This window comes from Homo sapiens, chromosome 2 (genome assembly GCF_000001405.40).
Source record: "Homo sapiens chromosome 2, GRCh38.p14 Primary Assembly".
In the NCBI taxonomy this organism is placed as follows: domain Eukaryota; kingdom Metazoa; phylum Chordata; class Mammalia; order Primates; family Hominidae; genus Homo; species Homo sapiens.
The window spans coordinates 130651130-130667135 of record NC_000002.12 but is presented as its reverse complement, the minus strand read 5'-3'; the positions used below and the strand labels follow the sequence as shown (position 1 = coordinate 130667135).

General features: G+C 44.5%; 1 protein-coding gene across 4 annotated transcripts in view, besides 2 other annotated features; it reads right to left on the bottom strand.

The window, feature by feature from the left end:
• Window positions 1297–1796: an enhancer, noted in NCBI's record as "H3K4me1 hESC enhancer chr2:131422913-131423412 (GRCh37/hg19 assembly coordinates)". NCBI's record gives its function as "activates a minimal SCP1, AML or CMV promoter by ChIP-STARR-seq in naive H9 embryonic stem cells {active_cell/tissue: H9 hESC(naive)}" and the evidence as "EXISTENCE:reporter gene assay evidence [ECO:0000049][PMID:30033119]".
• Window positions 1797–2298: an enhancer, noted in NCBI's record as "H3K4me1 hESC enhancer chr2:131422411-131422912 (GRCh37/hg19 assembly coordinates)". NCBI's record gives its function as "activates a minimal SCP1, AML or CMV promoter by ChIP-STARR-seq in naive H9 embryonic stem cells {active_cell/tissue: H9 hESC(naive)}" and the evidence as "EXISTENCE:reporter gene assay evidence [ECO:0000049][PMID:30033119]".
• Window positions 9099–16006, bottom strand: part of POTEJ (POTE ankyrin domain family member J) — a 46960-nt gene continuing 40052 nt past the window's right edge. For all 4 annotated transcript variants that reach the window (XM_017004741.3, NM_001277083.2, XM_017004742.2 and 1 more), the window contains 2 exons: window positions 12095–12215; window positions 9099–10587 (listed from right to left, as the gene is read on the bottom strand). In XM_017004741.3, coding sequence (XP_016860230.1) covers window positions 9259–10587; window positions 12095–12215 — 1450 coding nt within the window. In that variant the 3' untranslated portion in view covers window positions 9099–9258. The remainder of the gene's footprint in view (window positions 10588–12094; window positions 12216–16006) is intronic.

Genomic DNA, 16006 nt, shown 5'->3' with positions numbered 1-16006 from the left:
AGCCCGCAGTACTATACGACCCGAGGCATGGACTGGAGCCCCAAAGGCAGCGCACACCCTGCTCCTGACCCTGCTGCTCGTTTCCTCTCTGTGGCTCCATTTGTAGCACAGTTGTTGCACTGAGGCTTGTGCATGCCAGGGAAGGCCAAGCTGGCTCAAAGAGCAACCAGCCACCTCTGCAAGGGTGTGCCAGGAGCAGGTGCACCACTCACCCACTAGCGGCCGGACATGGTACATCAGTTCTTCTACCCTAAAGGTGGGCCACAGTGCCATCTGCTTTTCCTAAGGCTTCTGCTCCATCAGCAATTAGGTGGCAGCCAAGGCAGGACAAGCTCACTCGGAGCAGCATGTTAGTACCTGGGGCCTGTGCATGCCAGGGAGGCCAAGCTGAGTCAAAGAGCAACCAGCCACCTCTGCAAGGTCTGGCCAGGGCTACAGAAGGCCCCCCTGGATGGTAATCCTGGCTGCTTTCTGTACTTGAACATAAAGTCTTCCTCAAGACGGCCTGTGGTCTGCCTCCAGGCAAGCAAGAAGCCCGCAGTGCTATACGACGCGAGGCATGGACTGGAGCTCCAAAGGCAGCGCACACCCTGCTCCTGAGCCTGCTGCTCGTTTCCTCTCTATGGCTCCATTTGTAGCACTGTTGTTGCACTGAGGCTTGTGCATGCCGGGCAAGGCCAAGCTGACTCAAAGAGCAACCAGTCACTTCTGCAAGGGTGCGCCAGGAGCCGGTGCACCAGCCACCAACCTCACTTGCTACCGGACATGGCACATCAGTACTTCTACCCTAAAGGTAGGGCCACAGGGCCATCTGCTTTTCCTAAGGCCTCTGCTCCATCAGCCATCAGGAGGCAGCCACTCAGGCTGTTGGAACCTGGCCATCCCAGCTTCCTTGAGTAGCTGAGGTTGCTGGCTGGTCCACCTGCTCCTGGCACACCCTTGCAGAGGTGGCTGGTTGCTCTTTGAGCCAGCTTGGCCTTGCCTGGCATGCATAGGCCCAGCTACTGACACACTGCTCCAAGTGAGCTTGTCCTGCCTTGGCACAAATTCTGAGTGTGGCCAGGGCCACAGAAGGCCGAGTCCCCTGGATGGTAATCCTGGCTGCTTTCTGCACTTGAACATGAAGTCCTCCTCGAGACGGCCTGTTGTGTGCCTCCTGGTAACCAAGAAGCCCACAGTGTCATACGACCCCTGAGGCATGGACTGGAGCCCCAAAGGCAGCACACACCCTGCTCCTAAGTCTGCCGCTCATTTCCTCTCTGTGGCTCCATTTGTAGCACAGTTATTGCACTGAGACTTGTGCATGCCGGGCAAGGCCAAGCTGGCTCAAACAGCAACCAGCCACCTCTGCAAGGGTGTGCCAGGAGCAGGTGCACCAGTCACCAACTAGTGGCCGGACATGGTACATCAGTTCTTCTACCCTGAAGGTGGGCCACAGTGCCATCTGCTTTTCCTAAGGCCTCTGCTCCATCAGCAATTAGGTGGCAGCCAAGGCAGGACAGGCTCATTCAGAGCAGCGTGTTAGTACCTGGGGCCTGTGCATGCAAGGGAGGTGAAGCTGGCTCAAAGAGCAACCAGCCACCTCTGCAAGGTCTGGCCGGGGCCACAGAAGGCCGAGTCCCCTGGATGGTAATCCTGGCTGCTTTCTGCACTTGAACATAAAGTCCTCCTCAAGATGGCCTGTTTTCTGCCTCTAGGCAACCAAGAGGCCCGCAGTGCTATACGACTCGAGGCTTGGACTGGAGCCCCAAAGGCAGCGCACAGCCTGCTCCTGAGCCTGCTGCTCGTTTCCTCTCTGTGGCTCCATATGTAGCAGAGAGGTTGCACTGAGGCTTGTTCACGCCGGGCAAGGCCAACCTGGCTCAAAGAGCAACCAGTCACCTCTGCGAGGGTGTGCCAGGAGCCGCTGCACCAGCCACCAACCTCACTTGCTGCCACACATGGCACATCAGTACTTCTACCCTAAAGGTAGGGCCACAGGGCCATCTGCTTTTCCTAAGGCCTCTGCTCCATCAGCCATCAGGAGGCAGCCACTCACGCTGTAGGAAACTGGCCATCCCAGGTTCCTTGAGTAGCTGAGGTTGCTGGCTGGTCCACCTGCTCTTGGCACACCCTTGCAGAGGTGGCTGGTTGCTCTTTGAGTCAGCTTGGCCTTGCCTGGCATGCATAGGCCCCAGCTACTGACACGCTGCTCGGAGTGAGCTTGTCCTGCATTGGCACAAATTCTGAGTCTGGCCAGGGTCACAGAAGGCTAAGTCCCCTGGATGGTAATCCTGGCTGCTTTCTGCACTTGAACATAAAGTCCTCCTCAAGACGGCCTGTGGTCTGCCTCTTGGCAACCAAGAAGCCTGCAATGCCATACGAGCCCTGAGGCATGGACTGGAGCCCCAGAGACAGCGCACACCCTGCTGCTGAGCCTGCTGCTCATTCCCTCTCTGTGGCTCCGTTTGTAGCACAGTAATTGCACTGAGGCTTGTGCATGCCGGGCAAGGCCAAGCTGGCTCAAACAGCAACCAGCCACCTCTGCAAGGGTGTGCCAGGAGCAACCGGACCAGCCACCAACCTCACTTGCTGCTGAACATGGTACATTGGTTCTTCTACCCTAAAGGTAGGGCCAAGAGGCAGACCACAGGCCGTCTTGAGGAGGACTTTATGTTCAAGTGCAGAAAGCAGCCAGGATTGCCACCCAGGGGACTCGGCCTTCTGTGGTCTGCAGTGCCATACGAGCTCTGAGGCATGGACTGGTGACATCTGCTTTATAGAAAAATTAACTTAAGATCCATTAAACAGTTAAACGTGCCATCTGATTTTCCTCGGGCCTCTGCTCCATCAGCCCTCAGGTGGCAGCTACTCAGGCTCTCGTAACCTGGTCACCCCTGCTTCCTTCTGTGGGTGAGGTTGGTGGCTAGTCCACCTGGTCCAGGCGCACCCTTGCAGAGGTGGCTGGTTGCTCTTTGAGCCAGCCTGGCCTTGTCTGGCATGCACAGGCCCCAGGTACCAACACGCTGCTCCGAGTGAGCTTGCCATGCCTTGACACAAATTCTAAGTCTGGCCACGGCCACAGAAGGCCAAGTCCCCTGGGTGGTAATCCTGGCTGTTTTCTGCACTTGAACATAAAGTCCTCCTCAAGATGGCCTGTGGTCTGCCTCTTGGCAACCAAGAAGCTCGCAGTGCCATACCATCCCTGAGGCACGGACTGGAGCCCCAAAGGCAGTGCACACCCTGGTCTTGAGCCTGCTGCTCATTTCCTCTATGTGGCTCCATTTATAGCACAGTTATTCACTGATGCTTGTGCATGCCGGGCAAGGCCAAGCTGGCTCAAAGAGCAACCAGCCACATCTGTAAGGGTCCACTTGGAGCAGATGGACCAGCCACCAACCTCACCCACTCAAGGAAGTAGGGAATGTGTGTTTGTACCATGCATTTCACTACAAGTACATTTCCCCTGAGGTTGGTGGCCTACATTTTCTTCTAGATTTTTTGCTTTTAGGTCTTACGTTTAACTCTTTTATCCTTCTTAAGTTAATTTTTGTATAAAGTGTAAGGAAGTGGCCCAGTTTCAGTTTGCTGCATATGGCTAGACAGTTTTCCTAACACCATTTATTAAATAGGCAATCCTTTCCCCAGTGCTTACCTTTGTCAGTTTTGTCAAAGATGTGGTGGTTTTACATGTGTGGTGCCATTTCTGTGGCCTCTGTTCTATTCCATTGGTCTATATATCTGGTTTGGTACCAGTACCATGCTGTTTCCGTTACTGTGGCCTTGTAGAATAGTTTGAAGCCAGGTACTGTGATGCCTCCAGCTTTGTTCTTTTTGCTTAGGATTGTCTTGGCTATGTAGACTCTTTTTTGGTTCCATATGAAATTTAAAGTAGTTTTTCTAATTTTGTGAAGAAAGTCAATGGTAGCTTGATGGGGATAGCACTGAATCTATAAATCACTTTGGGTGGTATGGCACTCAGGCACAGAAATGTCCTTGTGTTAGGCAATACCATTCAGGACATAGGCATGGGCAGAGACTTCATCACTACAACACCAAAAGCAATGGCAACAAAAGCCAAAATTGACAAATGGGACCTAATTAAGCTAAAGAGTGTCTGCAGAGCAAAAGAAACTATCATCAGAGTGAACAGGCAACCCACAGAATGGGAGAAAATTTTTGCAATCTATCCATCTGGCAAACGGCTAATATGGAGAATCTACAAAGAACTTAAACAAATTTATAAGAAAAAAAACAACCCCATCAAAAAATGGGCAAAACATATGAACAGACACTTCCCAAATAAGACATTTATGCAGCTAAAGAACATGTGAAGCAAACCACATCATCACTGGTCATTAGAGAAACGGAAATCAAAACCACAATGAGATACAATCTCACACCACTTAGAATAGCCAACATTAAAAGATGAGGAAACAACAGATGTTGGAGAGGACGTGGAGAAATAGGAACGCTTTTACACTCTTGGTGGTAGTATAAATTAGTTCATCCATTGTGGAAGACAGTGTGACAATTCCTCAAGGATCTACAACTAGAAATACATTTAACCCAGCAATCCCATTACTGGGTATATACTGAAAAAATAATAAATCATTCTAATATAAAGACACATGCACACGTATGTTTACTGCGGCACAGTTCACAACAGCAAACACTTGGAAGCAACCCAAACGCCAATCAATGATAGACTGGATAATGTGGCATATATACACTATGGAATGCTATGCACCCATAAAAAAGGATGAGTTCATGTCCTTTGCAGGGACATGGATGAAGCTGGAAATCATCATTCTCAGCAAACTAACACAAGAACAGAAAACCAAACACCTCATGTTCTCACTCGTAGGTGGGAACTGAACAATGAGAACACGTGGACACAGAAGGGTAACATAACACACCGAGAACTGTTGTGGGGTGGGGGAGCAGGGAGGGATAGCATTAGGAGATATACCTAATGTTAAATGACGAGTTAATGGGTGCAGCACACCAACATGGCACATGTATACATATGTAACAAACCTGCACATTGTGCACATGTACCCTAAAACTTAAAGTATAATAATAAAATTTAAAAATTAAAAAAAAGTTTTAAAAAATTTCCAACTGGATTTTTTTTTGTTTTTTGTGGGTTTTTTTTTTTGCTTTTTTGTTTTGTTTTGTTTTTGTTTTTGTTTTGCAGCCACAGGAGTTTTAGCCAATTCAGATGCCTTGCTCCCACAATTTGGAACATTCCTTTGGATTTGACCAAGTCAGGAAGAGATGGGAGAAAAGTGAAACAACAATAAAACCCCAAACATAAACAAAAAGAGTTAAGCAAAACAAACAAATGCACAATTCATATGATTAACTGAGTGTTCTAATGGTAAGGAGGAATTAAAAGCAGCTGGTGGGTAATCTTAAATTTTAGTCATTAAGGAAAAATTTTAAGACAAAACTCTAATTCAGCTACTTACCTGGAAATAAGGCTCAGACTGGGTGATCATTCTCTGCCATCTTAGAAGCTGGAAAAACTTACACTCACCTTCCCTGTCAGAAGCAAGCTGAAACTCAGGAAAGGAGGTGCCTGCTCTCCTTTGTCAATGGAAGCAGGAAAACTTGCCTTCCTTGTTGGAAATGAGTAAAACTTCAAAAAAGGAGTTGTACAGCAAAATCAACCTTACATCTCAACCAAATTTTCGGAGATCAGGGACTCTGTGAAGGGGAGAAGCTCCACAACCTCAGCAAATTATCCTATTGGTTTGGGCAATACAAATAGCCCAGGTTGGTATCAAGCAATAATGAGATTTATCAAAGGTCAGGACCACCTTTGTAATGTCCTTCTCTTTTTTTATCTTTATTGGTAGAGTCTGTTTTGTCAGAAACTGGGAGTGCAACACCTTTTTTCTGTTTTCCATTTGCTTGAAATATTTTTCTCCATTCCTTTATTTTGAGCCTATGTATGGCACTGCACGTGAGATGGGTTGCTTGAAGACGGCATACTCCAGTGGGTCTTGGTTCTTTACCCAGCTTGCCCCGTGTCTTTCAATGGGAGCATTTAGCCCATTTACATTTAAGGTTAGTAATGGTATGTGTGGATTTTATCCTGTCGTCATGCTGTCAGCTGGTTATTTTGCAGACTTACATATGTGCTTGCTTTTTAGCATCATTGGACTGTGTACTTCAGTGTGTTTTTGTAGTAGCAGGTGATGATCTTTTCTTTCCATATTTAGTGCTTCCTTCAGGAGCTCTCGTAAGGTAGATCTGGTGATACCAAATTCCCTCAGCACTTGCTTGTCTGAAAAGGATCTTATTTCTCCTTCACTTATGATGCTTAATTTTGCTGGACATGAAATTCTGGGCTGAAATTTCTTTTCTTTAATGGCAGTTGATGTGGGTTGGGGTGTGTGCTGCACTCCCGTGTGCTCTCAGGGCAAGTAAAGCAAAACCCACCCGTGTAAACACACACAGCAAAGTGATTTAGGAAGTTTCCAAATAAAGGGCTGCCGTATGGAGAGGCAATGTGCAGGCTGGTGCGTGGCTCTAGGGGCCACCTTGCTGCAGCTCTCCACTGATACGGTACAGTCCACTAGCATGGAAGCTATGGTGTGGGCATCTAAGAGTGCCCCGTAAGCAGGTGTGGCCAGGCTGGGGCCATGGGAGAGGCGAGCAGACTAAGGAGTGCTGAGATCAGACCAGCCCCATCTCAAGTGCAAGATTGCCCAGCCTCCAGAGATCAGGTCTCAGAGGAGAACTCTCTCAAAAGTGAACCCCCAGCACAGCACAGCAGCTCTACACAAACGTGGCTAGACTTCTTTTATTAAGCAAGTCTCCTTTTTTTAAAAAGGGAACTCTCGGACCTGATCTCTGCTGGGCAATCTTGCATATAAGATGTGGCTGGTATGACCTCAGCATTCCTAAAGTGCTGGGATAAAGTGTCTCACAAGGGCAAGTGGACCCTAGAGAGACAGCCATCCCTGACCTCTGGGCTCCACATCACCTGACTTGCTGCTCCACCACTTTGCTTGTTTCCTGGGTGCTCCATCCCAGAGACATGTGAGTTAGCAATCACTTAGTGTAATCAGCCCAGGATGGAGGGTCTGTGCTGTGGGCCCAAGCCAGGGTTCCCTGTCTGGTGATGAGTAGTGGAGGGTGTGTGGTACCCGTGGGAGATGGACTGGCTTGTTCTTTGGGTCAACTGCAGCTTATTGGAGGTGTTGATAGGGCACTTAGGGTCTTTGCTCCCTTGCATCTTCTGAGGGCAGCAAGGGCAGTTCCACTGCAGAGGCAGTGGCAGAAAGGATTTCATTTGCTCCTGGAAGCTCTGTCCCAGGAACTGCAGAGTTGCTACTGGCTTGATAGCTCCAGTGGTGGGCTGGCTAGAGACCCAGGCCAGGAGGATCTGCCCATCAAGTAGAGAGCCCGGCCACTTTTCTGTAGGGCTGCTGTGGTATGCTGGGGGTCCCCTCCAGTCCCTAATTGCCTTGTATTTTCCAGGGAAGATGATAGTCTGCCCCTTCCTCTGGAAGCTCTGTACCACTGAGGTACGAACCTGTTGCCAATCTGAACACACCTGTAAGATGTGGCTGGAGGCAAGTTGAGAAGTCTTACCTAGTCAGGACGAACAAGAACAGGGACTTGCTTCAAAAAGAAAAGTCTGGCCACGTTTTTATAGAGCAGCTGTGCTGTGCTGGGGGTTCACTTCAGCCCCTGGTCCGCCTCAGACACTCTGAAGCCCTAAGGCTGAAATGCCTGGGTCGCCCAAACAGCAAAGATGACAATCTGGTCCTCCCCCTGGGAGCTCTGACTCAGGGAGGCCTGAGACCTCTGTCGGCCAGAGAACAGCAGTCAAGGTAGCCAGAGACCCTGGTTGAAAGACTTCACCCGCTGACTAGAAATGTGGTCAGGGACTGACGTAAACAAGAGTCTGGCCACGTTTTTGTAGCGTGGCTGTGCTGTGCTGAGGCACGTCTTCCACCCCTTGTCAGCTTGGGCTCTCCAAAACCCGCAGGCCAGAATGGCTAGTCACCGAAAGACCAAAGGTGGGGGCCTGCCCCTCTCCGGGAGCTCTGTCCCAGGAACATTTCACATTTCCATTGGCCAAGGAATGCTGGTGGGGGTAGCTGGAGGCCCCAGTTGGGAGGTCCTGTCCAGTGAGATGGAACAGGATCAGGGGCCTGCTTACAGAAGCAGTCTGGCCATGATTTGGTAAAGCAGCTATGCTGTGCTGTGGGATCTCTTCTGTCCCTCGTCGGTTTGTACTCTCCAAAGCCCGCAGGCTGGAATGACTAAGTTGCCTGAACGGGAAAGATGGCGGCCTGCCCCGTCTTTTCTCTCAGAGTTTTATCTTGTTTCATGGAGCTTAATTTTTAGCCTGTTGATTTTACTGTCTACATTAGACTTGTTGAGAAAGAATCTGTTCTCTTTTAGGTGAGATAAATGAGAATTCATTGTCTTCTGTAAATAAACCTGTTCATGTCTTGTTCTCTGGAAAGAAGTCTCTTTCAGCTATCTGACTTTGGTCACAATCATGTAGAGCAGCAGCCAGTCTACAATGACGTAATTGAATTTCCATTTCCGGTGTTTCCTCGTTGTGTCTTACATTGTCCAGTTCAGAACTGAGCATTTTATTCTCAGTTGTCAACATGCTAAGCTGTCCACTGTACTGAAATACTGTGCTTCCTCAATTTTTTTTAAGGTGTGCACTTTTATCCAACTCTCCTCAAGTCAGAGTACAGGTAAGCCCTGGCTGCCTCCAGCCACTCTCAGGGAGACCAAAAGCCTTCATACACCCCAAGTTGGGGTACAAAAGAGGGGGGCCACGAAGGCTGATCATTCAAAATAAAACAAAATTAAAAAGTATTAAGGCGAAGATTCAAAAAATTTTGCATTATGTAATTTGCACAAAAGCAATGCTATCACCTCCCCTGTGTGAACTAGGGAGAGGACTGGGCCATTCTCCTTAGAGAGAAGTGGGGTGGCTTTTAGCAGTGCAAGGGGCTTCCTGAAACAATGCGTCTCACAATATTTGGAATGACTATTGAAAAGAAGAACAATGTACAATCAAAGTCCTTGGCCACATTGTAGAACTTTGGAGGAAGCTTCCTCCAACCGACTGCTGTCACCTTCACCATTCCGGTTTTTAAATCCTGAGTCAAGCCAATAAAAAACAAAACAAAAAATGAAACAAGAAAACAAATAAAGCCATGCCAATCTCATGTTGTTTTCTGAGAAGTTTGGTTTTGTCAAGAAAGGGTGTAACGCAACTAAGTCAGAGTCCACCTAGAAGCATTTGCGGTGGACAATGGAGGGGCCTGACTCATCATACTCCTGCTTGCTGATCCACATCTGCTGGAAGGTGGACAGCGAGGCCAGGATGGAGCCACCGACCCACACGGAGTACTTGCGCTTGGGAGGAGCAATGATCCTGATCTTCATCATGCTAGGCGCCAGGGCAGCGATCTCCTTCTGCATTCTGTGGGCCATGCCAGGGTACATGGTGGTGCCGCCAGACAGCACTGTGTTGGTGTACAGGTCTTTGCGGATGTCCACATCAGACTTCATGATGGAGTTGAAGGTAGTTTCATGGATGCCACAGGATTCCATGCCCAGGAAGCAAGGCTGGAAGAGCGCCTCGGGGCAGCGGAACCACTCGTTGCTGATGGTGATGACCTGGCCATCGGGCAGCTCGTAGCTCTTCTCTAGGGAGGAGCTGGAGGCCACCATGGCCATCTCCTGCTCGAAGTCCAGGGCAACATAGCACAGCTTCTCTTTGATGTCACGCACGATTTCCCGCTCGGCCATGGTGGTGAACCTATAGCCACGCTCGGTGAGGATCTTCATGAGGTAGTCAGTCAGTTCCCGCCCAGCCAGGTCTAGGCGCAGGGTGGCATGGGGGAGGGCATTCCCATCATAGATGGGCACAGTGTGGGTGACCCCGTCACCAGAGTCCATCACGATGCCAGTAGTACGGCCAGAGGTGTACAGGGACAGCATGGCCTGGATGGCCACGTACATGGCTGGGGTGTTGAAGGTCTCAAACATGATCTGGGTCATCTTCTCGCGGTTGGCCTTGGGGTTCAGGGGGGCCTCGGTCAGCAGGATGGGGTGCTCCTCGGGGGCCACACGCAGCTCGTTGTAGAAGGTGTGGTGCCAGATCTTCTCCATGTCATCCCAGTTGGTGATGATGCCGTGTTCCATGGGGTACTTCAGGGTCAGGATGCCTCTCTTGCTCTGGGCCTCCTTGCCCACATAGGACTCTTTCTGATGCATGCCCCCCATCATGCCCTGCTGCCTGGGGCACCCCACGATGGAAGGGAAGACAGCCCGGGGGGCATCGTCGCCCGCAAAGCCGGCCTTGCACATGCCAGAGCCGTTGTCAATGACGAGCACAGCGGTATCATCATCCATGGTGAGCTCATTCAATTGTAGAGCCTTTAAAAGATTATCATTCTTTTTTTTCACACTTTCAATATCCTCCAAATATTTCTTTTTTCTTAGCTGGCTCTGATGTTTCATTGTGTCTAGCTCCAGTCTTAGCATGGCAATTTCTTCCCGCAACATACTATTTTCATGCAAGAAGTCTCTTTCTTTCTTACAACTAAGAGAAAGCTAAGTAAACAAAGAGAACTTTTAGTTAGCACTCAATAGATTGACATAACATGATTTCTTTTGAAATTCAAAAATAACATGTATTTGTATAATGAAAGAATCCCCATAGTGGATATTTAACTGGAAAAAAATTGGACAAAACTTCAAACCTAATAAGAGTGTAAATTCCTCCAGTGATTTATTTTTCATCGTCTTTAAATAAATATTTAAACTTTTAGGAATCTGCTCCTAAATTCCTAAAAGTTTAAATATTTATTTAAAGACGATGAAAAATAAATCACTAGAGGATTTTTAAGAATCCCAGAATTAAAAAAGCCTTTTTCTGAGTTACAAAAAACCCAGAGGCATAAAATATAAGATTAACAATTTGACTACATTTTTAAGATTAGGTTTACACTCTGATATCTAACCTATCAACCACACCATCCTAAGAGCCTTAGCTATGCATATATTTGGACAGAAGGAATTTCTCAAAGTTCTTTAAGTTCTTTTACTGAAGAACATTTTACCGATATTCTACATTTCTAATATTTCTATACTCAGTTATAAGAATTACATTTATTTATAACTGTCAAATCTAAGCACTGTACCCTTCTACACTGTACACATCTGTATCTAGGCATTCCACTTCTACATATAACACTGAACTCATTTAAGATCGCGATTCTTAAAAGGAGAGGTCAAAAAATATACACAGATGCAGGATTTTCCCCAGGTCTGCTGATGCTACTTCTAGTGATCCTCCACAAAATCACACTTACTTCTGTGGTGTAAATATATAAATACAAAAGAAACCTTTTGTTTCAAAATATGAATGGTAAATAAGATACAACTTATAGAGATTTTCTTAGAAATCATGAGATTATTTGCCATTGCGGTAACTTTTATTTCCTCTTTATAATGTTTGAAACAGTAGTAATGGTGAAATAGGGGAAATATACTGAACTATTTCTCCAGAAAGAAAATACTTATCAATAAATTATTACTAAATGTGTATCATGGCATGTCATTGTTTTCAAACCTCTTTACATTGAAATGAGAAACTACTTGGAGCAAACTGTTCCTCTCTGCAAAAGTAAGGATAATGGTATCCACAATGTGGCCTCTGACCCAGCTGTACATTTCCTACTTTCTTATCAGTGAAAATAATCAATTGACTTCTCTATTAACATTTTTTAAAAAACTAATGTCCAAAAACGAGAAAATCTGTTTTCAGTAGCAAAACTTATTTCTGATGTGGAAAGATCGTCAATTCTTATGAAAAACATCAAATACTTCTCCTTTGGATTGAGGCCATTGTGCAGGTCACTACTCAACTGTTGCAGGCAAATGAAGGTGAATTAAGAACATGGCTTTATCCTATATGTACGTATATAGATATATGACAAAGGATATATAGAATATATACACACATATATATGACTTAAAAATCCTTTATATTTCCAAAATACAGTTCTTTAAAATATACACACATATAAAAACATTTGAAAATAACTAAAGAAAATACCTCAGAATTCATTTTTTCAACCACTTCTATCTGCTTTTCTTCATGAATCAGAATCTCATCGTGTAATATTCCAGTGTTCTGTTCTTCACAAAATTGCTTCTGAGTATCATTTTGTTCGTCACTAGAAGAAATTTTAATTTTCATGAAATACTGGAGCTGTCCCTAAAATGATGTACAGGGCAAGATGGCGCCATCAGATGTCATTCACACAATGCATATCTGCACATTATTCCAAGACAAGGCAAAGGGGTCTCACATCTGTTAACCAGGTGTCCCCAACCATGCTGGCACCAGGGACTGGTTTTGTGGAAGATAATTTTTACAGGAACCTGAGGTGGGGGATGGTTCCAGGATGATTCAAGTAAATTACATTCATTGTGCACTTTATTTCTATTATTATTAATATATAATGAAATAATTATATCTCACCAAAATGTAGAATCAGTGGGAGCCCTGAGCTTGTTTTCCTGCAACTAGATGGTCCCATTTGGGGGTGACGGAAGATGGTGACAGATCAGAAAGGCATTCGATTCTCATAAGGAGTGAACAACCTATATCCCCCTGCATGAGCAACTTACAACAGGGTTCAGGTCACACTCAGGACAATCTAATGCCACCGCTGATCTGACAGGAGGAGGAGCTCGGGCGGTAATGCGAGTGACAGAGAGTGGCTGTAAACAGATGGAGCTTCACTTGCTCACCTGCCTCGAACCTCCTGCTGTGTGGCCCAGGTCCTAACAGGCCAGGGATTGCTAATGGTCTGTGTCCTGTAACCCATACTCTTTATGTTTATTGTTTGGAAACACTTTCTACTTATATTCTTGATTCCTATGTATTTTATAAACAACTTAGAAATTCCTTTTAGAACAAGACAGGGTATAATATGTTTTTAACATAGGACTTTGAAATAATTTTATCTGTGTATGAGAGAGAGATGTGAAATAAACTCATCGTTAAGCACTTTCCATTTTACTTTTATTTCATGCATATTAAAAATAAAACTGGGAAGTCCTAGGCAGAGCAATTGGGCAAGAGAAATAAAGGGCATCCAAATTGGAAAAGAGGAAGTCAAACTATCTCTTCACCAATGATATTATCCTATACCTAGAAAACCCTAAAGACTCCTACAAAACACTCCTAGATTTGATACATGAATTCAGTAAAGTCTCAGAGGTTACAAAATAAATGAATACCAATCAGTAGCACCACTATACACCAACTACAACCAAGCTGAGAGTTCATATCAACAATCCAATCCCTTTTACAGTGGCTGCAAAAAAGTGTGAAGCACCTAGGAATATACTTAATGAAAAAAGTGAGTGATCTATATAAAGATAACTGGAAAACACCACCAAAGAAAATAACAGATGACACAAACAAATGAAAATACATCCTATGTTCATGGACTGAAAGAACTGATATAGTGAAAATGACCATAGTGCCCAAAGCAGTCTACACATTCTATACAATACCTACCAAAGTACCAATGTCATTCTTCACAGAATTATTTTAAAATGCTGACATTCATGTAGAACCACAAAAGAGCCTGAACAGCAACAGACATACCAAGCAAAAGGAACAAATATGTTGGCATCGCATTACCTGACTTCAAATGATACTCTAAGACCACAGTAACAGAAGCAGCGTGGTACTCGTATAAAAACAGATACATAGATCAATGGAACAGAACAGACAACTCAGAAATAAAGCCACTACAACCAAGTGATCTCTGAGCAAGGATACAAAAACATACACTGGAGAAAGTACAGGTTATTCAATAAATGGTGCTGGGAAAAAAAGATAGCCACATGTTGAAGAATGAAACTGGATCTCTATCTCTCACCATATACAAAAATTAATTCAAGATGGATGAAAGGCCTAAACCTAAGACCTGAAAACATTGGCCTAGGCAAAGGATTTATGAGGAAGACCCTAAAAGCAAATCCAACAAAAATGAAAATAAATAAATAAGACCTAATTAAACTAAAAAGCTTCAGCACAGCAAAAGAAATAATCATCAGAGTAAAACAACAACTTATACAATGGGAAAATTTTGAAAATTATGATGCTAACAAAGGACTAATATCTATAACCTACAAGAAACTCAAACAAATCAACAGGAAAAACGCAAATAATTCCATTGGAAAGTGGCCAAATTACATGAATAGACATTTCTCAAAAGAAGAGGTACAAACGGTAAACAAGCATATAAAAACATGCTAAATATCTCTAATCATCAGGGAAATGTACAATAAAACCACAGTGAGATATCACCTCACTGCAGCCAGAATGGCCACTATTAGAAATCAAAAAACAACAGATGTTGGTGTGGACGCGGTGAAAAGACAACAGTGATACACTGCTGGTGGGAATGCAACTTCATACAAATCTATGGAAAACAGTATGGAGAGTTCTCAAAGAACTAAAAGTAGATCCTACCATTTTATCCAACATTCTCATTTCCAGATATCTACACAAAATAAAAGAAATCGTACTCTCAAAAGGACACCCGCACACATATGTTTACTGCAGCACAATTCACAATATGCAAAGATATGGAATCAACCAGTGTCCATCAACTGATGAGTGGAATAAAGAAAATGGACGTATATACATATATATATCTCACATCACATATATGTATCATATATATGTATGTGTGTATATACACTCACACATATACATATGTACATAGCTGAGACTGGGTAATTCACACACATACATACCTGAGACTAGGTAATTCATAAAGGAAAGAGGATTATTTGATTCACAGTTACGCATGGCTGGGGAGGCCTCAGGAAACTTAACAACCATGGTAGAAGGGGAAGGGGAAGCAGGCACCTTCTTCATAAGGCGGCGGGAGAGAGAGAAGAGAGAAGTGAAGCGCAAAGAGCCCCTTATGAAACCGTCAGCTCTTGTGAGAACTCACTCACTATCACAAGAACAGCATGGAGGAAACCGACCCCATGAGCCAATCACCTCCCAGCTGGTCTTTCCTCAACACCTGGGAATTACAATTTGACATGAGATTTGCATAGAAACACAAAGCCAAACTATTGGGGGGGGGTATCCTTATTTTTAAAATATCTAAATGTCATTATTTATAATTCAAAATAGCAATTTTTATTACTTATGATTTTGTTTGAAAACAAAATGATCTCATAAATTTTCTTCACTTTTAACCTATTCAGTCAAAATATAGAAAAAGCTAGATTTGCCAGCAGAAAATTGTAACAACTTTTTAATGAGATAAAAATGCATAACAATATCACTAGTATTGTACAGAGAAAAAAGTGAACAAGAAAAGGAATTTAAAAACACAGAATATGACTATCATATACATACATGAACTGACAAAGAGACTAAAATCTCCTACTGGAGATTATGTTAGGACTTGAGCAAAAGCTTCTAAAAATACCAAAAACAAAAACAAAACAATTATTTTTAAGAAATAAATTATACAGAGAACTCTTCTGGTTAAGATGATGTATCAAAAAAAAAAATCTTCGTGAGAGCTATTATTAACCAAGTCATCATAACCAAAACTTTAAATCCACAATTCTGGAATATTAAAAAGTTTCTTTTTGAACATAGTTAATGGAAGGCAACTTTTGAACAGAAAATTTCTGGTTAAAGTTGACTCAAACTTAGGAAAGAATTGACCTGTAGCCATGGTAACAAGAAGCCAGCCAGAGCCAGTTCAAAATCTAGTCAATCGATCAATGACCACTGGCCTTGCTCACCAACCAATATCAGTGTGAGCAGCTTGCTTCTGAAAGACAGCCAAGCAGCAACAGCTGCTCCATCAGAATAGACAGTGCCTGACCAGTATAGTCTTACTATCGGAAGCAAAAAATTCCAACTGTCTTTTTATTTCAAATACCGAAGGTCCATAATCCCTTGGAAAGAATT